Source organism: Homo sapiens, chromosome 17 (genome assembly GCF_000001405.40).
Source record: "Homo sapiens chromosome 17, GRCh38.p14 Primary Assembly".
NCBI lineage: Eukaryota > Metazoa > Chordata > Mammalia > Primates > Hominidae > Homo > Homo sapiens.
The window spans coordinates 3,973,860-3,998,208 of record NC_000017.11 but is presented as its reverse complement, the minus strand read 5'-3'; the positions used below and the strand labels follow the sequence as shown (position 1 = coordinate 3,998,208).

At 50.1% G+C, this 24,349-nt stretch overlaps 1 long non-coding RNA gene across 1 annotated transcript, besides 4 other annotated features; it reads right to left on the bottom strand.

The window, feature by feature from the left end:
* Positions 4,363-4,492: an enhancer, noted in NCBI's record as "active region_11530". NCBI's record gives its function as "activates an Ori minimal core promoter by ATAC-STARR-seq in GM12878 lymphoblastoid cells {active_cell/tissue: GM12878}" and the evidence as "EXISTENCE:reporter gene assay evidence [ECO:0000049][PMID:35858748]".
* LINC01975 (long intergenic non-protein coding RNA 1975) lies at positions 15,064-21,106 on the bottom strand. Its single transcript, NR_146884.1, has 2 exons — positions 21,015-21,106; positions 15,064-16,766 (listed from the first exon to the last, which is right to left on the bottom strand). It is a non-coding gene; the product is annotated as a long intergenic non-protein coding RNA 1975 (long non-coding RNA).
* Positions 15,272-16,187: an enhancer, noted in NCBI's record as "H3K27ac-H3K4me1 hESC enhancer chr17:3885316-3886231 (GRCh37/hg19 assembly coordinates)". NCBI's record gives its function as "activates a minimal SCP1, AML or CMV promoter by ChIP-STARR-seq in primed H9 embryonic stem cells {active_cell/tissue: H9 hESC(primed)}" and the evidence as "EXISTENCE:reporter gene assay evidence [ECO:0000049][PMID:30033119]".
* Positions 20,752-21,587: an enhancer, noted in NCBI's record as "H3K27ac-H3K4me1 hESC enhancer chr17:3879916-3880751 (GRCh37/hg19 assembly coordinates)". NCBI's record gives its function as "activates a minimal SCP1, AML or CMV promoter by ChIP-STARR-seq in naive H9 embryonic stem cells {active_cell/tissue: H9 hESC(naive)}" and the evidence as "EXISTENCE:reporter gene assay evidence [ECO:0000049][PMID:30033119]".
* Positions 21,588-22,424: an enhancer, noted in NCBI's record as "H3K27ac-H3K4me1 hESC enhancer chr17:3879079-3879915 (GRCh37/hg19 assembly coordinates)". NCBI's record gives its function as "activates a minimal SCP1, AML or CMV promoter by ChIP-STARR-seq in primed H9 embryonic stem cells {active_cell/tissue: H9 hESC(primed)}" and the evidence as "EXISTENCE:reporter gene assay evidence [ECO:0000049][PMID:30033119]".

Sequence of the window (24,349 nt, the reverse complement as noted above, 5' to 3'; positions counted from 1 at the left end):
AAAGATTCGACCAGGCACGGTGGCTCACGCCTGTAATCCCAGCACTTTAGGAGGCCGAGGCGGGCAGATCACGAGGTCAGGAGATCAAGACCATCCTGGCTAACATGGTGAAACCCCATCTCTACTAAATATACAAAAAATTAGCCGGGTGTGGTGGCGAGTGCCTGTAGTCCCAGCTACTCAGGAGGCTGAGGCAGGAGAATGGCGTGAACCCGGGAGGTGGAGGTTGCAGTGAGCCGAGATCGCGCCACTGCACTCCAGCCTGGGCGACAGAGCGAGACTCCATCTCAAAAAATAAAAAATAAAAACACAAGGTTCTACTATATGCTGTCCATGGAGAAACATTTTAGATTTAAAAGCACAAATAGATGAAAAGCAAAAGAATAAAAAAAAGATATATCATGCAAAGGGCAATCACAAGAAAGCTGAAGTGGCTATAGTTTTATCAGACAAAATAGACTTTAAAACAAAAAAAATGCTTCTAGGGACATTTTAGAATTATAAAAGGGTCAATCCATCAGGTAAATATAACAATTATAAATATATATGCACCTAGTAACAGAGCACCAAAGCACATGAAGCAAAAACTGACGGAAATGAAGCGGGGAATAGATAACTCAGCAATGATAGCTGGAGACCTCAAGACCCCACTTTCAGTAGTGGATAGAAGTAGCCAGGAGACACTGTGGAAGGCCGCAGGGTCCTCTGCCTAGGAAAACCAGAGACCTTTGTTCACTTGTTTATCTGCTGACCTTCCCTCCACTATTGTCCTATGACCCTGCCAAATCCCCCTCTGCGAGAAACACCCAAGAATGATCAATTAAAAAAAAAAAAGAAAAAAAAAAAAAAAAAAAGAAGTAGCCAGGAGATCAACAAGGAAATTGAACATCATTTATGTATTTATTTTAGAATAAGTCTCACTATGCTGCCCAAGCAGATCTTGAACTTATGGGCTCAAGCAATCCTCCTACTTCGGTCTCACAAGTAGCATGAAAATTGAAGACTTAAACAACACTATGAACCAATTTGACTTGATGGATGTCTATAGAACACTCTACCCAACAAAAGCAGAATATACATTTTCTCAAGTGCTCATGGAATATTACCCAGAACAGACCCTATTCTAGGCGATAGCAAACCTCAATATATTTTAGTTTATTTTAATTTTTTTTTGTAGAGATGGAGTCTCAATATATTGCCTGGACTGGTCTTGAACTCCTCCGCTAAAGCAATACTCCCACCTCAGCCTCCCAAAATGCTGGTATTATAGGTATGAACCATCACACCCAACCCAATAAATTTTAAAAGAAATAATACAAAGTATGTTCTCCAACCAGAATGGAATGAAATTAGAAATCATTATTCTGTTGAAAGAAATTGGAGAGATTCACAAGTATATGGAAATTAAACAACACATTCCTAAATAACTAATGTTTCAAAGAAGGAACCAAAAGGGAAATTAGAAAATAATTTGAAATGAATGAAAATGAAGACACAAAAATATCAAAACTTACAGGATACCACTAAAGTAGTACTTATTAGGGAAGAACTTTTTAGTAGAAGGGAAATTTATAGTTGTAAAGGTCTACAATAAAATAATGATCTGAAATCAGTAACCTAACTTTCCACCTTAAGACAATGGTAAAAGAAGAGCAAAATAAGAAAGCCTAAAGGAAGCAGAACAAAGATTAGAATGGAAATTAATGAAATAGAGAATAGAAAAATAGAGAACATTAGTGAAACTAAATGCTGGCTCTATAAAAAGACCAACAAAATTGAAAACCTTTAGCTACATTGACCAAGAAAATAAGAGAGAACTTCAATTACTAAAATCAGATATGAAAGAAGGAGCATTACTACCAACATCAAAGAAATAAAAAAATTATAAAGGAATACTATGAACTATTACATGTCAACAAAATAGATAACTTAGATGATGTGGACAAATTTCTAGAAAGGTGGAAACTACAAAAACTGATGGAAGAAGAAACAAAATTTGAATAGAGATAACAAATAGAGATAATCACAACACTACCCACAAAGAAAAGCTCAGGACCAGATGACTCCAGTGGGAAATTCTAACAAACATTTAAAGAATAATTAAAATCCCATCACTTTGGGAGCCCAAGGCGGGCAGATCACTTGAGGTCAGGAGTTTGAGACCAGCCTGGCCAACATGGTGAAACCCTGTCTCTACAAAAAATACAAAAAATCAGCCAGGCATGGTGGCAGGTGCCTGTAATCTCAGCTAATTGGGAGGTTGAGGCAGGAGAATTGCTTGAGCCCAGGAGGAGGAGGTTGCAGTGAGCTGAGATCGTGCCACTGCACTCCAGCCTGGGCAACAGAGCAAGACTCCATCTCAAAATAAATAAATAAATAAAATACATAATAATACCAATTCTTCACAAACTGTTCAAAAAATAGAAAAGAAGAAAACACTTCCCAATTCATTTTATGAGGGCAGTATTACACTGACACCAAAACCAAATGAAGACATCACAAGAAAAGGAAACTACAGATTGATGTTTCTTATGAATATGGATGCAAAAATCCTCAACAAAATACTAGCAAGCCAAATTCACATCATATGAATTCTACATCATGATGAAACAGACTTTTTTTTTTTTTTTTATAGAGTCTCACTCTGTCACCCAGGCTGAAGTACAGTGGCACAATCTCAGCTCACTGCAACCTCCACCTCCCGGGTTCAAGTGATTCTCCTGCCTCAGCCTCCCGAGTAGCTGGGATAACAGGTGTCCACCATCATGCCCAGCTACCTTTTTTGTATTTTTATAGAGATGGGGTTTCACCTTGTTGGCCAGGCTGGTCTCAAACTCCTGACCTCAAGTGATCCACCCACCTCAGCCTCCCAAAGTGTTGAGATTACAGGCATGAGCCACCATGCCCAGCCCTGATGAAGTGGGATTTACCACATGAATGCAAGGTTGGCTTAACATCCAAAGATCAATTAATGTAATACACCATATCAATAGCATAAGAAAAAAAACCATGTGACCATCTCAAACGATGCAGAAAATGCATTTGACAAGATCCCAAGCCCTTTGATCATAAAAGTACTCAACAAACTAGGAATAGAAGGAAGCTTCCTTAACCTGACAAAGGGCATTTATAAAAAACCCACTAACATCAAACTTACTAATGAAAAGCTGGATGCTTTCTTCCTAAGTCAGGAACAGCACAAGGATGTGTACTCTCAGCACTTCTATTCAACATTGTAGGGGAGATTCTAGGTAGGACAATTAGGATAGAAAAAGAAGCAAAAAGCCATCCAGTTTAGAAAAGAAGTAAAACTATCTCTATTTGTAGGTAACCTGATCTTCCATATGTAAAATTTTAAGGAACTCAGTAAAAAATTACTGAATTCCAAGAGGCAGGGTTCATGGGGGCATCTTGGAGGCTACCCTCCCCAGTGCCAATTCTTCTCTTTCTTCATAGCATTGATCACAATGTGTACATATACTGACATGGATTTTTTGGTATCAGCATCCCCCTATTAAACTGTAACACTAATAAATTCAGCAAGGTTGCAGAATACAAGATTAATACACAAAAATTGATTGTATTTCTGTACATTTTCAATAAAGAATCCAAAAATGAAATTAAGAAGATTCTATTAACAATAGCATCAAAAAGAATAAAATACTTAGACATAAATTTATCAAAAGAAGTACAAAACTTATAGCATGAAAACCATGAAACATTGTTGGAAGAAATTAAAGATCTGCCATGGCTTGGATGTGGTTTGTCTCTGCCAAAACTCATATTGAAACTTAATTGCCAATATAATGATGTCAGAACCTTTAAGAAGTGGAGTCTAATGAGAGGTGTTTGGGTCATGGGGGGGTTCCACTCTCACAGGCCCCTTGGTGCCATTCTTGTGGTAGTGAGTGAGTTCTAGCTCTTGTGAGACCGGATTTGTTCTCATGGGCATTTATAAAAATGTTTGTTAGTATTTTGTTGAGGACTTTTACAAATATTTGGCTTGCTAGTATTTTGTTGAGGACTTTTGCATCCACACTCATAAGAAACATCTCATGAGAATGTGAGAGTGGGTTGTTATAAAGCCAGGACAGCCCTCAGGTTTTGTTTCTTCACATGTGCTCGCTTCCCCTTTGACCTTCTGCCACATTTTCATGCAGCAGGAAAGCCCTCACCAGAAGCTGAGCAGATGCCAGTGCTATGCTTCTCGAACTTCCCAGCCTGCAGAACTGTGAGCTAAATAAACCCCTTTCCTTTATATATTATTCTTTCTCAAGTATTCTGTTGTAGCAACATGAAGCAAACAAAGATAATATATAAATAAGCAGAAAGTAACATCCCATATCTGTGGATCAGAAGCGTTAAATTTGTTAAGATGGTAGTACTCTCCAAATTGATCTACAGAGGGAAACCCAGTGACTTACAAATTTAGTGGCCTGTAACAACAAACATTTATTATCTCAGTTTCCGTGGGCCGGGAATCCAGGCACAGCTTAGCTGGGCGTCAGTGGCTCAAGGTTCTCACGAGTTGCAGTCATATTGAGACTTGGCTGGAGCTAACAGATCTGTTCACTCACATGGTGGTTTGCAGGCTGCAGTGTTTCGCAGGCTGTTGGACTGAGGGCCTCTCAGTTCTTTGCCATGCCACATGGGCTTCTCCATAAGTCAACTCACAACATGGCAGCTTACTTCCCCTGGCACAAGTGATCCAAGAGCAAGACCACCCAAACTGGAAGCCACAGTCATTTCTTTTGAGACAGGTTCTGTCTCTGTCACCCAGGTTGGAGTGTGGTGGCACAATCATGGCTCACTGCAGCCTCAAACTTCCAGGCTCAAGCCATCCTCCCACCTCAGTCTCCTGAGTAGCTGGAACTGCAGGTACCTGCCACCACACCTGGCTAATCTTTTTATTTTTTGTAGAGTCAGGGTCTTCCTATGTTGTCCAAGCTGGTCTTGAATTCTTGGGCTCAAGCAATCCTCCTGCCTTGGCCTCCTAAAGTGCTGGGATTACAGGTGTGAGCCACTGTGCCCAGCCAGCTACAGTCTTTTTATAACCCAATCTCAGAGGTCACACTCCAACACTTTTGCTTTAGTGTCTGTGATCATCAAGTCAATGAGTCCTACCCCCATACAAGGGGAAGGTACGAAATAAGGGCTTGAATTCCAGGAGGTAGGGATCATGGGGGATCGTGGAGGCTGTCCTCCACAGCGCCCTTTATTATCTTTCTTCACAGCACTGATCACAATGTGTACATATACTGACATGGATTTTTTTTTTTTTTTTGTATCAGCATCTCCCTGTTAAACTGTAAGCTCCATGGTGGCAGAGACAATATCTGTTTTGTTCATCATTTTGTGCCCAAATTAGAGCACAGGGCCTGACTCGACAGGCACTTAACAAATATTAGTTGTGTCAGTTAGTTGGGAATAATAAATATCTTTTACTTTTATTTATTTATTTGTTTATTTATTGTTTTGGTGGTTTTGGGGTTTTTTTTTTTTTTTCCGAGACAAGATCTCAAAAAAAAAAAAAAAATGTTGAGATCTGTCATTCAGACGGAGGGCAGTGGTGCCATCGTGGCTTACTGCTGCCTCAACCTCCTGGGCTCAGGTGATCCTCCCAGGACAGCCTCCCACGTAGCTGGGACTACAGGTGCACGCCACCATGGCCAGCTCATTTTTGTTGTTGTTGTTGTATTTTTTATAGAGACAGGGTTTTGCCATGTTGTCTAGGCTGGTCTCAAATTCCTGGGCTCAAGCAATCCACCTGCCTCAGCCTCCCAAAGTGCTGGCATTGCAGGCATGAGCCACTGTGCCTGGCAATCTTTTCCTTTTAGACAGCCTCTCCCTGTTTGTTATTTAGGTTGACAGTTGAACGAATGGATTTATAAATATTTATTTTTGAATAAACATAGAAAATGTTGACTGGGTGCAGTGGCTCACTCCTGTAATCCCAGCACTTGGTGCGGCCAAGACGGGTGGATCATCTGAGGTCAGGAGTTCGAGACCAGCCTGGCCAACATGGCGACACCCTGTCTGTACTAAAAATACAAAAAAAAAACAAAAGAAAAAATTAGCTGGGTGTGGTGGCGCACGCCTGTAATCCCAGCTACTCGAGAGGCTGAGGCATGAGAATTGCTTGAACCTGGGAGGCGAAGGTTGCAGTGAGCTGAGATTGTGACACTGCACTCCAGCCTGGGCTACAGAGTGAGACTCTGTCTCAAGAAAGAAAGAGAGAAAGAAAGAAGGAAGGAAGGAAGGAAGGAAGAAAGGAAGGAAGGGGAAGGGAAGGGAAGGAAGGGAAGGGAAGGGAAGGAAGGAAGGAAGAAGAGAGAGAGAAATAAAGAGAAAGAAAGAAAGAGAAAGAAAGAAAAGAAAAGAAACTGTCTAATAGCACAGGTGAGCAGTGTGGAGTGGTTCTGTTTGAGGATTGGGCACGGGATGAGAGAGGAGAAAGCATTTCTACCCTCCTCTTATCCCTCTGCATTGTTGGAATCCTTAACAATGAGCAAATGTTATTTTCACAATCAAGATTTTAATAAAACAAATGATCCATAAATAATAAATAAAAATAGAAGACAAATGACAAACTGGAAAAAATTTACAACAAAAGGTTATTTTCTATAATCTACAAGGAGCCCTTGTAAATCAATAAAATAAAGATAAACCCACCGACAGAAAAATGGCCAAGAACCAGAAACTGACAATTCCCAAAAGAAAAGATACAAATGGCCAATAAGCAGATGGTAAATGTTCACCTGGAGGAGTAATCAGAGAAACGCAAGAAAAAAACAAGAGGAAGGAGGAGGAAGGGAAGAGGAAGGGGGATGGGAGCAGGAGGAGGAGGAGAAGGAGAAAGAGGATACAAAGAAAGAGAAATATGAGCATGAGAAAGAGGAGGAGGAGGCCGGGTGTGGTGGTCCAAGCCTGTAATCCCAGCACTTTGGGATTACAAAGTGGGCGGGCGGATCACCTGAGGTCAGGAGTTCGAAACCAGCCTGGCCAACATGGTAAAACCCCGTCTCTACTAAAAATACAAAAATTAGGCAGGTGAGGTGGTGGGCGCCTGTAATCCCAGCTACTTGGGAGGCTGAGGCAGGAGAATCACTTGAACCTGGTAGGCGGAGGATGCAGTGAGCCAAGATCGTGGCATTGCACTCCAGCCTGGGCAACAGAGTGAGACTCTGTCTCAAAAAAAAGAAAAAGAAAGAAAGAGAGAGAGAGAGAGGGAGAGAAAGAAAGAGAAAGAAAGAAAGAAGGAAAGAAAGGAAGGAAGGAAGGAAGGAAGGAAGGAAAGAAAGAAAAAGAAAGAAAGAGAAAAAGGGAGGGAGGGAGGCAGGGAGGGAGGGAGGGAAGGAAGGAAGGAAGGAAGGAGGAGAGAGGAGGAGGAGAAGGAAAATGAGAAGAAAGAAGAAGAAGGAGTAGGAGGAAGAAGAAGGAAACAGAAGAAGTAATTGTTCACCTACCAGATTGGCAAGAATGACAATGAATGAGAAAGCTGAGTGTGGGCGGCGTGGATCACCAGGCACCGGCTGTGCAGGTAGCGAGGGAATCTAAGCTCTTCGGTTCACTCTGTGCAGTGGCGTTGGCAACAGGGTCAGAGCCCTTGCCCTCGCTGCTCCCCTTCTAGGAATTTGAGATGACTGGAATCATTGGCCAATATGCCGAGCTATGTCTGTTCCAGCACTACACACCCTCAAAACATGCACATTACGGAATGTATTCAATGCCTCTAAATACTATGTAGGTGGTTAAAAATTATATTGCACATGTATATTTATTGATGTGTAAAAATAGTCACCCAGTTTGGCTGGGCGCAGTGGCTCATGCCTGTAATCCCAGCACTGTGGGAGGCTGAGATGGGTGAATCACAAGGTCAGGAGTTTGAGACCAGCCTGGCCAAGATGGTGAAACCCCATCTCTACTAAAAATACAAAAATTAGCTGGGTGTGGTGGTGGGTGCCTGTAGTCCCAGCTACCCGAGAGGCTGAGGTAGGAGAATCGTTTGAACCCAGGAGGCAGAGGTTGCAGTGAGCTGAGATCACACCACTGCACTCCAGCCTGGGTGACACAGCCAGACTCCGACTCAAAAAAAAAAAAAATGTTCGCCCAGTATTACTGAGTGAAAAACAAGTTATAAATAATGCCAACAATCCCATTTACGTAAGAAAGAAATATTTTTTTGCCTATAGAGAAAAAACTGTCAAAATTTGCAATAAAATATTAAATTGGTCATCACCAGTGTTGAGATTATGGGAAATTTTATCTCTTTGCTTATCTGTATTTTGAATTTTTTCTGCAATAAATATGTAGCACTCATATAATAAAAAAGGAAAATACAGGGTTTTTTTTTTTACATTCTATTGTGAGAGCTGGCATTTTCAAGTTTTGTTTTTAAATTGTCACAAGGTCTGGCTTTCTGGGCTCCAGGCTGGAATATGTGGCGGGTTTCCTGCTCGGGGAATTGTGTTTTTCCAGGTTGCCTGAGAGGCACTGGGAGTTTGGAACAAACAGGAGCTGCCCGTTTCTCACGGAGCCCTGACCCGGGGCAGCCCACTGGGCCTGGGCCACCACACGGCCCTGCAGGCCGAGGCCCCGGCCAGGCCTCACGCCCACCCTACACGGAGCAGAGCACCCAGGCCTGTATGTTGCGTTCTACCCGTATCTACAGGAGCACTGTCATTTGAGCCTTGTTGTTCTTGCCATTTGCACCCGTCCCCTGCAAGTTTTCTTCTCCCTGCAGCTCACTCCAAGGAGCAGGCCTGTGACTGAGGCCCGGCCAGTAGGAGCCTTCCACTCCCTCGCTGCAGTGATAGGCCGTGGGTGGGCGTGTGACCCAAGTCAGCCCAGCAAGGCGCAGTCCCAGGAATTTTCTCTTCTGGGGTTGTTGGGAGAAGAGAGCCTTGGCCTTCCCCAATGCCTGTGGAGAGCCAGGCAAAGAGGAAAGTCCACTGATGCTTGTCCCCCGCCACAGCCAAGCCGAGGCCAGCTGCCCTGGGCTGTTCATTCCCTTAAGCCAAGAGTTTCCCATTTTTGCTCAACTACTCTGAGCTGTGTTTCTGTCACTTACAACCAAAAGAGGCCTAACCGATTCCGTGAGCGAGGAACCAGGTGCAGCGGGAGGCCAGAGGTCCATGGGGTGATGGGGCAGGCCAATTTTAACCTTGCAGAGTCCTCAGCCCTGTAAGCCTCAGGTGTGCTCCTTGTGACTCACCTTGTCTGTGATCTGCCTGTGACCTTGCCTGTGACCTTGTCTGTGATCTTGCCTGTGACCTTGCCTGTGATCTTGCCTCTAATCTGCCTGTGACCTTGCCTGTGACCTTGCCTGTGGTCTCCCTACCAGGCCCGCCCAGTAAGCCAGCCCTCTGGGTCCTTCTATCCACAGAATCTCTGAAGATTTTGGGAACTCTCCCACACAAGCCCCGTCATTGGCAGAATACCAAAAAGTTGAACTTACATTCCCGAAAGTGCTTGGCTTCAGATTCCAAACTTCCTAATGTCTCCCACTGTAGCCTACATTTTGTGTAAATTTTGCATTCTCAACCATTATGCTTTAACATGTAAAGAATGTTTTCTCAGCCTGGTGTGGAGGCACATGCCTGTAGTCCCACCTATTCAGGAGGCTGAGGCAGGAGGATTGCTTGATGCCGGGGGTTCAAAGTTGCAGTGAGCCATGATTGTATCTGTGAATAGCCACTGCACCCCAGCCTGGGCAACATAGCAAGACCCTGGTCTCAAAAAAAAGTTTTCTCCAAGAAACCTTTGAATAACATATACCATTTATCCTGTGACTTTTGGAAACCAGCCCTGCAAGGATTTTCCCCCATTCTGTGGGTTGTCTTCTCACTGTCTTCATAGTGTTCTTTGATGAACAAAAGTTTTTAATGTTGATGAAGGCCAGTTTATATTTTCTTTTGTTGCTCATGCTTTCAGTGTTTTTCTAAAAAACCATTGTCAAATTAAAGATTATTAAGATTTAACCCCATGTTTTCTCTTTCTTCTTGTTCTTTTTTTTTTTTTTTTTTTTTGAAACAGAGTCTCTCTTTGTCAACCAGGCTGGAGTGCAGTGGCACAATCTTGGCTCACTGCAACCTTCACCTCCCAGGTTCAAGCAAGTGATTCTCCTGCCTCAGCCACCTGAGTAGCTGGGACTATGAGTATGTGCCACCACACCCGGCTAATTTTTTTTGTATTTTTTTGGTAGAGATGGGGTTTCACCATGTTGGCCATATTGGTCTCAAACTCCTGGGCATCAAGTGGTCTGCCCACCTCAGCCTCCCAAAGTGCTGGGATTACAGGTGTGAGCCACTGTACCAAGCCCCCCATGTTTTCTTCTAAGAGTTGGATAGTGTTAGCTCTTTGATCCATTTTTAGTTGATTTTTGTATATGGTGTGAGGTAAGAATCCAAACTGTTCTTTTTTTTTTTTTTTTTTGAGACAGAGTCTCACTCTTGTCACCCAGGCTGGAGTGCATTGGCATGATCTCAGCTCACGACAACCTCCGCCTCCTGGGTTCAAGTGCTTCTCCTGCCTCAGCCTCCTAAGTAGCTGGGATTACAAGTGCATGCCACCACGCCTGGCTGATTTTTGTATTTTTGGTAGAGATGAGGTTTCACCATATTGACCAAGCTGGTCTTGAACTCCTGACCTCAAGTGATCCACCCACCTTGGCCTCCCAAAGTGCTGGGATTACAGGCATGAGCCACTGCACCTGGCCAAAGTCCAACTTGTTCTTTTATGCGTGGATATTCAGTTGTCTGAGCCGAACAGACGCCTGGGGTAGGCGTCTCCCAGGTCCCCTGAGAACCCTGGGGAGAGGACACGCTCACACCATTCTGGAAAGGACAGATCCACTAAACACCAGACCCAGTTCATGGATGGTTTGTGTCTGGGAGGGTGGGGAGGGGCTGACTGGGAGAAAGGGATATCATGGGCAGAAGCTGGGCAGAAAGATGAAGCAAGAGGGGAAGAAACTGGGGAAGGCGGGAGAGAGCTGCAAACGCGGGCACCAGGGTAGGCAGGCTGGCTGGGAGGGGAGGGGTCCGCCACTGGCCGAAGGGGAAGGGCCAGCTCTGCGAAGAGCCTTGAGGCTGGGTTTGGGGTGAGGCTGAGACAAGAGCCAGGAGGAAGCCTGGAGCCCCTTATCACCCCTACCTTGGATGGTCCTGGGGGACACTGTCCCTCAGAGGGCCACGGGGCTTATGGCTAACGATTCTCAGCTCCTGGCCCCCCATGCCTCACCTCAAAACAAAAAAAAAGTTAGCATTTCCAGGCAACATAGTGTAGGGGTCAAGTTCATGAATTCAGGAATCCAACTCTCAATCAGTGTTCAAGTCCTGGATCTATTGCAAACAGCTGTGTGCTCTTGGGCACGTTGCTTCACCTCCCTGAGCCTCTGAGTCCCCAGACAGTCAAAGGAGGAACACCTCAGAGGGGGATAGAGCGGGTTCAGTCATGCAGCATGCTCAGACTGGAGCTATTTTTAGCACATGCTGCATGCCAGGTGTGGGTGAGCAGCACGTGCCTGGGAACATCTGGGAGCAGGTACCCGAGATGCTGAATGACACTTACTTTCTCACTCTTTCCAGGTTAGATTGTTCCCAATGGGGGTGTATCCCTTTGGGAGTAGAGAACCCAGTGACGGTTCGGATCTGTGACTTGCTGTTTTAACCCAGGTCTGCTCCTGGCCCAGGACAGGAGACCGAGGGCAAAGGCCACACTATTGGTTTGACCTGAGCGTGGCCAGGCTGTGCTTGGCCCAGAGCCGGCTCTGGCAGGAAATGTTCGCTGCCGGAGTCCCGGACCCTTTGTGTCTGGGGCTGCTGGGGCAGGGGCTGCAGGGCTGCCTCTTTGGGAAGAGCTGAGGCGGGCCCTTCAAGGTTGTGGGCTTTTAGAATTGCATGCGGGATGCGACCCATTTCACAGCCCTATCGTCATCTCAGAGGGAAAGCGACTTGCTCAGGGTTTCACACATGTTTCTGAGGATGGAACCCCAGGCCAGCCTGGCTTTCTGCACCCCCTTTCAGAAAGCTGAGGTCTTGGTCCAGGAGGGACCACGGGAGTCTGAGATGCCTGGTGTCAGTGTCTGCCCCGGCTGGAAAGTCACATCCGCTGTTTGGCCACAGGCGTGGGCTCTGCGGCACCTCCTTGGGGGGAAGCTGGCATTGTGTTCTCGATGGCCGGTTATGGAAAAATCACAGAGAGCTGAGTAAACAGAGAACCACGGGCCGCCGCCATGGGAACCGCGGGGTGGAGGTGGCAGTGGAGGCTGGGGTAGGGAGGCCGTGGCTTGACCCAGGCTCACCTGGGAGCCAAGAATTTGCCAACACAGAGCCAGGGGGCCCGAGGGGGCCCTGAGGGTGTCTGAAGCCCAGGGAGTTCCCCAAAGTCACCTAGCAAGTCAGGGCCAGGTCCAAGGGCTGCACCCACGCCCCCCAGCTAGAGACCCTCTGCTCCCTGCTCCCCCAGTCAGACAGGCTGTCAGAGAAATAGCAAGAATTTCTTTCTGAACTGTAATTTTGGGGAGGCTTTGGGGACAGTCCTCATCCCTCACCTTCCAGACTCTGACCTTGACAGAGGTGCAAAGCAAGGAGCCATCAATATCCAAGTGAAGGTAGAGGTAGTTCCAAATTTTGCTCTGTGCTATTTAGTGAAAGTCCTTCATAGTCCCCAGGAAGGTGTTTGCTCCTGGAAGATGTTGGCATGAGTGCATGGGAGGGATGAGCGCATGGGAGCGATGAGCGCAAGGGAGGGATGAGCGCATGGGAGGGATGCGCGCATGGGAGGGATGAGCGCAAGAGAGGGATGAGCGCAAGGGAGGGATGAGCGCTTGGGAGGGATGAGTGCATGGGAGGGATGAGCGCAAGAGAGGGATGAGCGCAAGGGAGGGATGAGCGCTTGGGAGGGATGAGCGCAAGAGAGGGATGAGCGCATGGGAGGGATGAGCGCTTGGGAGGGATGAGCGCATGGGAGGGATGAGCGCAAGGGAGGGATGAGCGCATGGGAGGGATGAGCGCATGGGAGGGATGAGCGCAAGGGAGGGATGAGCGCAAGAGAGGGATGAGCGCAAGAGAGGGATGAGCGCATGGGAGGGATGAGCGCATGGGAGGGATGAGCGCATGGGAGGGATGAGCGCAAGAGAGGGATGAGCACATGGGAGGGATGAGCACATGGGAGGGATGAGTGCATGGGAGGTGTTAGCACTTGGGAGGGATGAGTGCTTGGAAGGGATGAGCACATGGGAGGGATGAGCGCATGGGAGGTCTTAGCACTTGGGAGGGATGAGCACATAGAAAGGATGAGCGCATGAATGGGATGAGCACATGGGAGGTGTTAGCACATAGGAGGCATCAGAATCAGAGAAGATTCAGTAGATAAAGCTTATGACACACAGCCAGTACTCCCTTACCAAGGACCTGTGATGAAGGACACCTTTATTTAAATGGATGATGATTCACTTTGAGAATGGAAGTGTAAACAGAGAGGCCGGGTGCGGTGGCTCACGCCTGTAATCCCAGCACTTTGGGAAGCCAAGGCGGGTGGATCACCTGAGGTCAGGAGTTCGAGACCAGCCTGGCCAACATGGCGAAACCCCGTCTCTACTAAAAATACAAAAAATTAGCTGGGCATCATGGCACAAGACTGTAATCCCAGCTACTGGGGGGGCTGGGGCAGGAGAATTGCTTGAACCCAGGAGGCGGAGGTGGCAGTAAGCCGAGATCACACCACTCCACTCCAGCCTTGGCGACAGAGCGAGTCTCCATATCAAATAAATAAATAAATAAATAAATAAATAAATAAATAAATAAATAAGTGTGGATTGGCTCATGATGCTTCCCTGAGTGAGAGGTAGCCACATCCCTTTGGAAGTGGTTGGACCCAGGGGCCATCCCAGGGCTTGGGGATGAGGTCAGTTTGCTTACAGGAAGCTGCTACTTCCTGTTTCTAAGAATACAGATCAAATGGCATTTCCCTTAAGAATCTCCCAGCCACCCAGGAGGGACTTGTCTGCTGAGGCCACGGGCCCTTTCCCAGCCCCTTCGTCGTCCGAGAGGCTGAGTCTCTGGGTTGCTGTGCACTCAGCGCACACCCTGGGCCATAAGCCGCCTCCCACAGCCGCCACAGCTGTGGATGCTACTTGGCGCTTGGGGCTGGCCTGGGACCAGGCACTGGGTGGCTCATTTTGCTCCTCTCTGGAATTCACCGCAGCTCATACAGAGCTGGGCTCCACTTGGTACCCCCAGAAGGAGGTCCCTGACCCAGCATGCTCCCTGCCAGCAGCGGTGGCCGTCTGCGCTCCTGCCTGCCCAGCACCTCTTCTTCCAATGTCTGCATCTTGACTGTCTTTTGGGGAGCCCTCCTCCCCCGACCTCCTGCAGTGACTTCAGACCACATGACTCCATGTAACCAACTGGAGCATTGCAGGGATTGGTCCAGAAATGGGAACAGAACCCATATCCCGTGAGAGCCCATTAGGAGGCTCAAATCAAAGGATTTTTTTGTTTGTTTGTTTGTTTGTTTGTTTGTTTGTTTTTGAGATGGAGTTTCACTCTTCAGGCTGGAGTGCAATGGCGTGATCTCGGCTCACTGCAACCTGCACCTCCCCAGTTCAAGCAATTCTCCTGCCTCAGCCTCCCAAGTTGCTGGGATTACAGGCATGCACCACTACGCCTGGCTAATTTTGTATTTGTAGTAGAGACGGGGTTTCACCATGTTGGCCAGGCTGGTCTTGAACTTCTGACCTCAGGTGATCCGCCCACCTCAGCCTCCCAAAGTGTGGGGATTACAGGCATGAGCCACTGTGCCCGGCCTCAAATCAAATGCTTTTGATTAAACCATTGGCAAAGAGAATCTCCTGGTTGGGGGGCACTCAAGTGGGATGTTGGGTGTGGCTGCTGGCAGCCATGTTACCATCATGAGGCGAGAATGCCACCACAGAGGAAACAGATCTCAGCTCACTGCAGCCTCAACCTCCCAGGCTCAAGTGATCCTTCCACCCCAGCCTTCTGAGTAACTGGGACTACAGGCATGCGCCACCATGCCTGGCTAATTTTTTTCTTTTTTGTAGAGACGGGGGTCTTACTATGTTGCCCAAGCTGGTCTTGAACTCCTGGGCTCAAGCAATCCTCCTGCCTCAGACTCCCAAAGTGCTAGGATTACAGGCAGGAACCACTGCACCCAGCTGAGAGGTGAATTCTTAAAGATGTCACTTGTGAGCCCTTGATCCTGCCTTTCCTGAAGCCATCCATCCCCTGGACTTTTCAGTGAAATGAGCCGACGATTTTCCCCTTGTGCTTCAGCCCATTTGAATCAGGCTTCTGCCCCCTTGCAATGGAAAGAGACCCGACTCGTCCACCACGTCAAGCTCAGCCTCTGCTGGACCTGAAGGGGCTTCTTTTTCTCTGGCAGATCCCAGGAGTATGGTCAGCTTCCTGCTGGCCTCCCCAACTCACCCCTCACATAGGCCTTCAGTAAACACAAAGGGCCAAGGGTGAACCAGGAGAGCTGCTGGCGGCCTGTGGGTGGAGGCTGGGTGGAGGCATGGAGGCTGGAAGCAGGGGAGGGGCTGTGGCCCCAGGGGTCCTGGCGTTCCCGGCAGCCCTTGAGGAGGCCAGAGGTGCAGCCAGGGGGGATTTCTGAGGCCCTAGAGTGAGTGGACTCAAAGGGCTGGTGAGACCCTCCTTGTGCAGCCCCAGCTGTATTAATAGGGTCACTAAGGCCAGAGAGGGCAAGGAATGGCCGGGGCTCCGCAGCTGGAAAGGCAGGCTCTGTCTACCCAGGAGGCTCCGTGTGCGGCTGTCTCGGCCACAGCAGCTCCTTGATTCTCTGGGGAAGGTTTCCCCTGGGCAGAAGGGTCCCCCTAAAACAGTGTGAACCACCACAGGCCTCTCGTGAGCCGCCGCGCCCGGCCTGTCTACTTCTTTTATCGAGAGGGAGATCCTTTCCTATCCTGAGCCGCAGCCCGCGGCCGGGGCACCTGGGGTCCAGGTTGCTCCTCCGCTGTGGGCGCTGCTTGAACTGGTGCCAGGTCCCGGTGTCACCGTAGGTGAGCAAGGTGTGGCCGCCGCAGCAGCACCCCTGTCCCTTGTGGTCCCTATGCTGTGGCTTTTCCCTGGGTGTTTACTGTAGAAAATGTCATCACACAAGTGTGTGTTGTCTTCACTCGCCCTCACTGGCCTCCTTCCTGAAGCACTCCCTGTCTCTTCAGTGCTGAGTCTTCTCCTCTCTCCTTCTCCCCGCATGTCAACTTGGGAAGCCCCTCAGCCTCCCCGGACCTCATCTCCCACCTGCACAAGGTGGAGGTTGGAGGAGGTGACTCAGAGGCCCTTTCCAGGTCAAACACCCTGGGGTCTACCCTTGTGTCATTCACAGGGGGAGGGGCAGAGCCACACTCTCTTTCCTGACAGCTCTCCAGGGTGACGGATTGGGCGATTCCTCTCTCTGTCTCCCGAGATGTCTGATGCATTGCACACTGGGTCCATTAGCACCTCACAGACAGGGCGAGACGGCTCAAGGCCCTCCCATTCCTCGTCCGCGCTCTCAGGTGCCTTTCCGTGCATGAGCGCAGAGCTACATCACTGGCGCTTAGGACGCCTGGAGCGACGCGTTTTTCACCAACAGGCCCTGGGCTCAGTGCTGAGCGCCTCGGCCCGCGAAGCCACACAGCACCAGGGGAGGCGGAGTCCGGCTTTATTCCCGTTGCTCAGGTAGGCAAATGCAGAGCAGGGCCTGTGCTCCTCACTTCCGCCTCTAAACAGCTCTACCTCCTTGAAACAAAACAAAACAAAACAAAACATAACAAAACACAAGTATGGAATATTTGCAACCCAGGAAGCTACAAAGAAAGGCTTAGGGGCCAAGAATGTGTTCCTCTCAGGGAGTTCCATCCTTGACTGTAAGTTCCATTCCTGCCCCATCTCCACTGACATTTTTTTTTTTTTTTTAACGACAGGTTCTCACTCTGTCACCCAGGCTGGAGTGCGGTGGCGCGATCTTGGCTCCCTGAAACCTCTGCCTCCCAGGTTCAAGCAATTCTCCTGCCTCAGACTCCCGAGTAGCTGGGATTACAGACACCCACCACCACACCTGGCTAATTTTTGTATTTTTAGTACAGACAGGGTTTCACCATGTTGGCCAGGCTGGTCTTGAACTCCTGACCTCAGGTGATCCGCCTGCCTCGGCCTCCCAAAATGCTGGGATTCCAGGCATAAGCCACGGCACCTGACCTCCACTGACATTTCATATGAACGCTGCCAGCTCCTGAGACGTCCTCTCCCTCCCAAGCCTGTGTTAACTCTGGGCTAGAACATTGAATGAAGTCACAGGAGGGTTCCTTGTAGCAAACGGTGTTCGTTCATAAATGAAGACTAATTAATCACTGAGGCTGTAAGTGAGCTGTGTTTCTCCCTTTTCCTTTCTTTGTTCTCAGTGAGAAACCTCTGGCGTGGGGTCAGCCCCTCCATCTGCCAGCTCTCCTTCAGCTGCTCCATCCAGCTGGGGAAATGAGCACCTCTGGCAATTCTGATTCAAACACGACACCAAGCTGTGTTCCTTCCACCACTCCAGAGTCGCAGCATGAGGCCCGGGAATGCGCAGAATTACCCTTGAAACCTCCAGGAAGAGGTAAGGGCACGATGCCGGCACCTGCCGGTTGCACCAGCCTCGCTGGGCCTGGCAGGTTTTGGTTTCCCCAGTGGATCCTACACCCAAAGCCGTCTCTACCCTCCGAGGTCCTGAGGGATGAAGGGACAGCGGAACCATGACTCCATCACACCCACCCACGGAGGGAGACGGCAGGTGGAGTCACCCACCCCTCAGACTCTTCTCTCCTCGCTTCTTCTCTACCTACTGAGCATAGAGATAAAGGCGACTATGCTGAGACCTCTCTATGATGCCACAGCTGGCATTTAGTGAGCATTTCCCATGTGCCAAGCATGGTGCTGAGGGCCTATCGCACTCCGGTGAATTCAGCTGGAAGGAGCAGACCACCAAGAACCCAATTGCTTTGAATAGTAAAGGCTTTTTTTTTTTTTTTTTTTTTGAGATGGAGTCTCACTCTGTCACCTGGGCTGGAGTACAGTGGCGCGATCTCAGCTCACTGCAACCTCCACCTCCCAGGTTCAAGCGATTCTCCTGCCTCTGCCTCCTGAGTAGCTGGGATTACAGGTGCCTGCCACTATACCTAGGTAATTTTTTGTATTTTTAGTAGAGATGGGGTTTCACCATGTTGGCCAGGCTGGTCTCAAACTCCTCACCTCATGATTCACCTGCCTCGTCCTCCCAAAGTGCTGGGATGACAGGCATGAGCCACCACGCCCAGCCAATAAAGGCTTTTAAGATCATCTCTTGGCCGGGCACAGGCGCTCATGCCTGTCATCACAGCACTTTGGGAGGCCGAGGCAGGAGGACTGCTAGAGGCCAGGAGGTGTAGGTTGCAGTGAGCCAAGATTGTGCCACTGTACTGCAGCCTGGGAGACAGAGCGAGACCCTGTATCAAAATTAGAAAAATAAATAAATAAATAAAGATAATCTCTCAGAACAAGAAGTCTGGGAGTTAGTCATCTCGGGCTACTCTGCAGCTCAGCAATGCCCCCATCTTCCTGCTCCGCCGTCCTCATTGTTGGGTTTTACATCCTCAAGATGGAGGCCTCATGGGCACAAAACAGCTGCTGCAATTCCAGCATCATAAGCTCATCACAGGCAGGGAGTAGGGAAAGCAAAGGCTTCCTCCTCTGTATTTTATTCAGGAAGCTCAGCAGACTTCCTCTTATAACTCATTGGCCAGAGGTGGGTCACATGACCACCCTTAGCTGCCAGGGATGCTGGGAAAGCCAGTATCCAGCAAAGAGAAGGGCATCGCTGTCAATGGGTTAGCCCACTCATGATTCATCCACCGGGCCTGGCACTTTTGCTACCTGGAGCAAATTCAGGCTTCCATTAGCAAAAGGGCTGTCATCTCTGTTGGGCAGCCAGCTACCGCTGCCATGTATCTTCTCAAACTCACAAAGCCCACTGAGGTGAGGCCTATTATTCTTTCCATTTTACAGATGATGAAACTGAGACTCACAGATACTTTGTAACTTGCCCAAGATCACACAGCTCATAACTGGCAAGGATCTCATCCGAGATCTGTCCCCATAGAGGGTGCTCTTAGCTACCACACATGACTAGGTACCTGCTGCTTATATACCACCCCAGACTGTGAACCTCTTGAGGGAAGAGAGGTTCTTCCCTCTCTTCATCTTCATCATTATCTTCATCTTTGCACTTCAGCAGTGCCTTGCAATTGACAGAAGCCCTGCTGAATTGATTTAAACACATAACCATTTGGTTCTGATGCTCACTGTTTTGTAATATGCTTTAAAACCAAGAGTTTAAACTTGCCAACACTGCCTTTAAAAATACGCCTCTTTTCTTTTGCATTGTTTTCCACTTACCCATGCTGGGTTCCTGAAGTCCTGGGCATAATTCCAATGTAAATATCACCAATGATGGAAATTTGGGGAAGGAGAGGAGGGTGAAAGACCAGTTGAGGCCCTGGAGTGTGTCAGTTCCTCATTAACAGTGGAACCATGGAAAAATCTTTGTTCCCGCCTGTTGGCCTCTTGCCTCCAGGATCTGGGTGGGTATTGCCTTTGGCTAGCTTCCTGCTCAGGTCACAGACAGTCTGATCAGAGCGGGAGTGTCCTGGGGAACAGAGGCCCGAAACAGGCTGGGTCCCTGGAAGTGGATGCAAGAAAAAGGTGGGCACTGTGAGAATCAGCAGCCCAGTGGGCCCATGCTGGCCACTCTATGTCCACTTTCTTTTTTTTTTTAATTGAAGACGGAGTCTTGCTCTGTCACCAGGCTGGAGTGCAGTGGCATGATCTTGTCTCACTGCAACCTCCGCCTCCTGGGTTCAAGCGATTCTCCTGCCTCAGCCTCCCGAGTAGCTGGGATTACAGGCGCCCACCACCATGACTGGCTAATATTTGTTGTATTTTTTAGTAGAGACGAGGGTTCACCATGTTGGCCAGGCTGGTCTCGAACTCCTGACCTCAGGTGATCCGCCCGCCTCGGCCTCCCAAAGTGCTGGGATTACAGGTGTGAGCCACAGTACCCGGCCCCTATGTCCGCCATCTCAGGTGGCACTCATAATGACCCTGTAGGACTGGGACCGCCGTGCTTCCCACTTCACAGTGAGAAAACTGAGGTTCAGAGAGGTGGAGCCGCTCCTCTAAGGTCACGCAGTAGAGCTAAGACTGAAGCCAACGGACTTCTCAGGTGGAGTCCTTAACCTAGCCGAGGGTGACTGGCAGGTACCTCGGGGACCTTGGAGAGGGTACTGAGGGCATGTTGGGGGCCAAAGAGGCTCCAGGCCCATCTTCAGGACTATCTAACTCAGTGCTCGGGAGCAGGGGCTTTGAGTTAGAACTTGCACTGCCTGGCGACCAGGGACAAAAACTCCAGCACTCTTTCTGTCCAGCACAGAGGTTACGAGCCTGGGCTCTGGGGCCACATGACCTGCAGGAAATCTCTGCTGTCCCATATACTGGTCGTGTGGCCCTTGTTTCACTGGGTGTAATAGCACCACTCTGAGGCTGCTTCTGAGGATGAAGCAATGCACTTAGCCCCGTGCCTCCATCAGCCAGGATGCAGTTCGTGTGAACCACGGTTACTTGACACCCTCACAGTGGAGAGGGCTGCGAGGGCCAAGGGCAGACCCTCTCCTGGTCCCATCCTTCCATCGGCCCCAGCAGCTGCCTTTGGAAGTGCTGCTTTTGGGGTGGGCTGACCCAGGAGGGCGTGGGCTGATTTGGGTATGCAAATGAGGGGATGTGGGTCCAGGGAATTAAAGACACGTGGACGCCAACTTGCAAATTTGAACATTTTCCTGGAGTCTGGTTTTTGGAAGCCAGGGGACAGAGCCTAACTGAAGCTCCCTCCCACCCTGAGCCCCCACTGTGTCCAGACAGCAGCTCGAGGCCCAGCAACTCCCAGCACCCAATAGCCACTCTGGGAATGACCACGCTCACCTGCCCTGCAGATCCCCTGGGTCCACTGGGCCTGCGCTGGGTGTGCCGTAAGTTATGGCTTCAGGGAGTCAGCGTAGAGAGATAGAGGGCATGCCAAGGTCACCCACAGGCCCAGCTATGGATCCGAGAGCCCCACCTGTGCGTCTGCCGCAGAGGTTGGCTGCAGCCCAGGCGTCAGGTGGTTTGGACATAGTGCCCAGCCCTGCCACGCTGGGGATCTGGGTGCCGCTGCCAACTTCCTCCACCTCTCTGGGTTCCCGGGCCCCATCTGAGGACCTGGAAAGAACCCAGAGCGCTTAGGCCTGACCTGGCAGACGCCGGGCCTAGGCTCTGGGCCACAGTGACAGGATATCCCCAGGGAGCTGGGCTGGCTGCCCACGCAGGGAACACCAGGGCGGAGACCTGGCACTGCCGAACGAGAAGACCCAGAAGGGCATCCAGGAGGGAAAGTCAGAACAGCTGAGCCTCAGGGGTCAAGAACAGTCCAGGGTTGTTATGGAAACCAGGACTACAGGCAGTGGGGGCAGGGAACGCTGTGCACCTACAAATAGAGCCTGAGAGCCAAGGCCAGGGCCCCGGTCTCCTGCCGCTTTATCCTCGCGGCCGGGGACCCTGCAACCTCCAGACGCTGTCCCACCCCCACTTCACAGCGACCCTGCGTTCAGAGGGGAAGGGGTGTTCCCAGACTCCCACAGCTAGGGTGGTACCCGGGAGAACCCAGCCCAGCGTGAGGACTTGCCCAGCCACCCTAACCCAGCCCCAGGCCTGGGAGCACCCCCTGAGGTGAAGCCGCAGCCCCACCCCCCAGCCCCTGCACACAGGAGTCAGGCTGGCCCTCCAGGTTCAGGGCCTGACGACTTGCCCTCAGGCACCCCCAAGCCAACAGCCTCTTCCCCATACCAGGGAGCAAGTCCCAGATCTCAAAATGCCTTTTCCAGTTGTGCCTTAAGGCTTGCAAGCTCGGTGGGGTGTAACAATTTACAAGGCAAACAGGGATTTTGTGTCTTATGCACTAACAACCCACTTCCAGCTGAGGCCGTGCAGGCAGACTGGTCAGGCTTGGGCTAGGACAGCTGGAGCCCTCTCCCCTGCTGGTAGGTGCAGCACAAGACTGGCACTATGTATTTGTGCCCGACACTGTGGCAGGGAAGAAGGTAGTACAGAGCCAGGGAGAGCCCAACCTACTGTGTGGCATCGGCAAATCCCAGCCCCTCTCTGAGACTTAAACCCCTGTCCGTGGCCAGGCACGCTGTCTCACGGCTGTCATCTCAGCACTTTGGGAGGCTGAGGCGGGTGGATCACCTGAGGTCAGGAGTTCGAGACCAGCCTGGCCAACATGGTGAAACCCCATCTCTACTAAAAATACAAAAATTGGCCAGGCGCGGTGGCTCACGCCTGTAATCCCAGAACTTTGGGAGGCCGAGGCGGGTGGATCACAAGGTCAGGAGATTGAGACCATCCTGGCTAGCACGGTGAAACCCCGTCTCTACTAAAAATACAAAAAATTAGTCAGGCGTGGTGGCAGTCACCTGTAGTCCCAGCTACTTGGGAGGCTGAGGCAGGAGAATGGCGTGAACCTGGGAGGCAGAGCTTACAGTGAGCAGATATCGTGCCACTGCACTCCAGCCTGGGTGACAGAGTGAGACTCTGTCTCAAAAAAAAAAAAAAAAAAAAAAAAAATTAGCCAGGCATGGTGGTGGGTGTCTGTAATCCCAGCTATTCAGGAGGTTGAAGCAGGAGAATTGCTTGAACCTAGGAAGCAGAGGTTGCAGTGAGCCGAGATTGCACCACTGCACTCCAGCCCAGGCAACAGAGCAAAACTCCGTCTCAAAAACAAAACAAAACAACAAAAACACACACACACACACAAAAACCCCTGCCCATACAATGGGGTGCCGCCTGATGTATCTCATGAGGAGGATGGCGCACACTTATGGATGTGGGTATGCTCATCCCTTCTTTCACTTTCTAGTATTTGCACCCTGCTTCTTTTTCTTGTCTTATTGCATTGGCTAGAACCGCCTTCATTTAACCAATCAATGTCTTTGAGAGTCCAGTAAATGCCAGACTGGGTGCCACGAACTGAGATGGAGCGGTGTGTGCCACAGACACCACGGCTTCTGCCCCCAGGACATCCCCACCCTAGAGAGCAACTTTACAATGACCTTCGTGCAGTGGGCTGGACTGTAGAGACCTCATGATGACTCGGATACAGCGCCTATTCTGGACAGACACACAGTGTGGGTGCTGTGGATGACAATTAGGAGCACACAAGCTGATGGCTGCTCAGGAGGCACAGGCCACTGGCTCCTGAGAGATCCAGGGGGACTTCTTGGAGAAGGCAGCATTGAAGCCGGGCTTTGAAGAATGCTGAGGGTTTAGACATGTACAGATGAGAAGAAGAAGTTTCCCAGGATGGGTAACAACAGACATGGAAAAGGGCTGGGAGCAGTATAGAGCAAAACAGTTCAATGGGAGGAACTCTAAGGTGCTGGGAGTGGATGTGGGAGCAGGAGCGTGAGATGAGGCTGGCGAGATGGACTTCAGGCCAAGCTGCGGAATTGATCTGAACTAGGTGACAGAGGGAGTCACTGAAGGCACGTGAGCAGGAGGGTAGCAGCAGGGCTGCCTGGGGAGGGGTGGGAGCAGCAGAGGGAGAAGGCAGGCCCCGAAGGAGCAGGCCCAACCTCACACGGCTGGCCCCCTCTTCCTGAGGTCCAGGGGTGTCTCCGTCTGCCGCTGGGAGGGAGAGGACAGCTTCCTCTCCTCGGTCTGGTTGGGGAGATAACGGGGAGAGGACAGGAAGTTGCCTCAAGGAGCGCAGGAGTGAGCTGCCTGGCCCCGGATCCCCTGCCCCGCTCTGTGCAGGGTGTTCCTGTAGAGATGGAGGCAAGAGGGCAGGAGGCGGGTCCCCTTGGGCCAAAATGCAACAGTCCAAGTGTCCTGGGCTGGTTGGGGGCCCTGGGTGCCTGCTCGGTCCTGCTGACCACACATCCCCACTTCCCTGGGCCCCAGAAGACCAGAGTGTGCTCCACTCCCAGAAAGAGGCTCCAGAGTGTTCCCACCTAACTTAGTCATTCAACAAACACCCCTGACACCTCCCGGGAGCAGCATCGAGTTGGGTGAGGTGGCTGCCAGAGAGGGGAGCAGGGCGGACAGTGAACACCCAGAGGACCAGGTGCAGGGTACTCGGCGGGTCGACCAGGAGGGAGTGGGAGGGAGCCCTATTGGCCTCAGGGATTGAGGGGCTTACAGTCCTTTAGGATGGGTAGGAATTAGCCAGCTGAGAGATAGGTGTTACGAGCAGACAGAAGGGCATGGGCAAAGACCCAGAG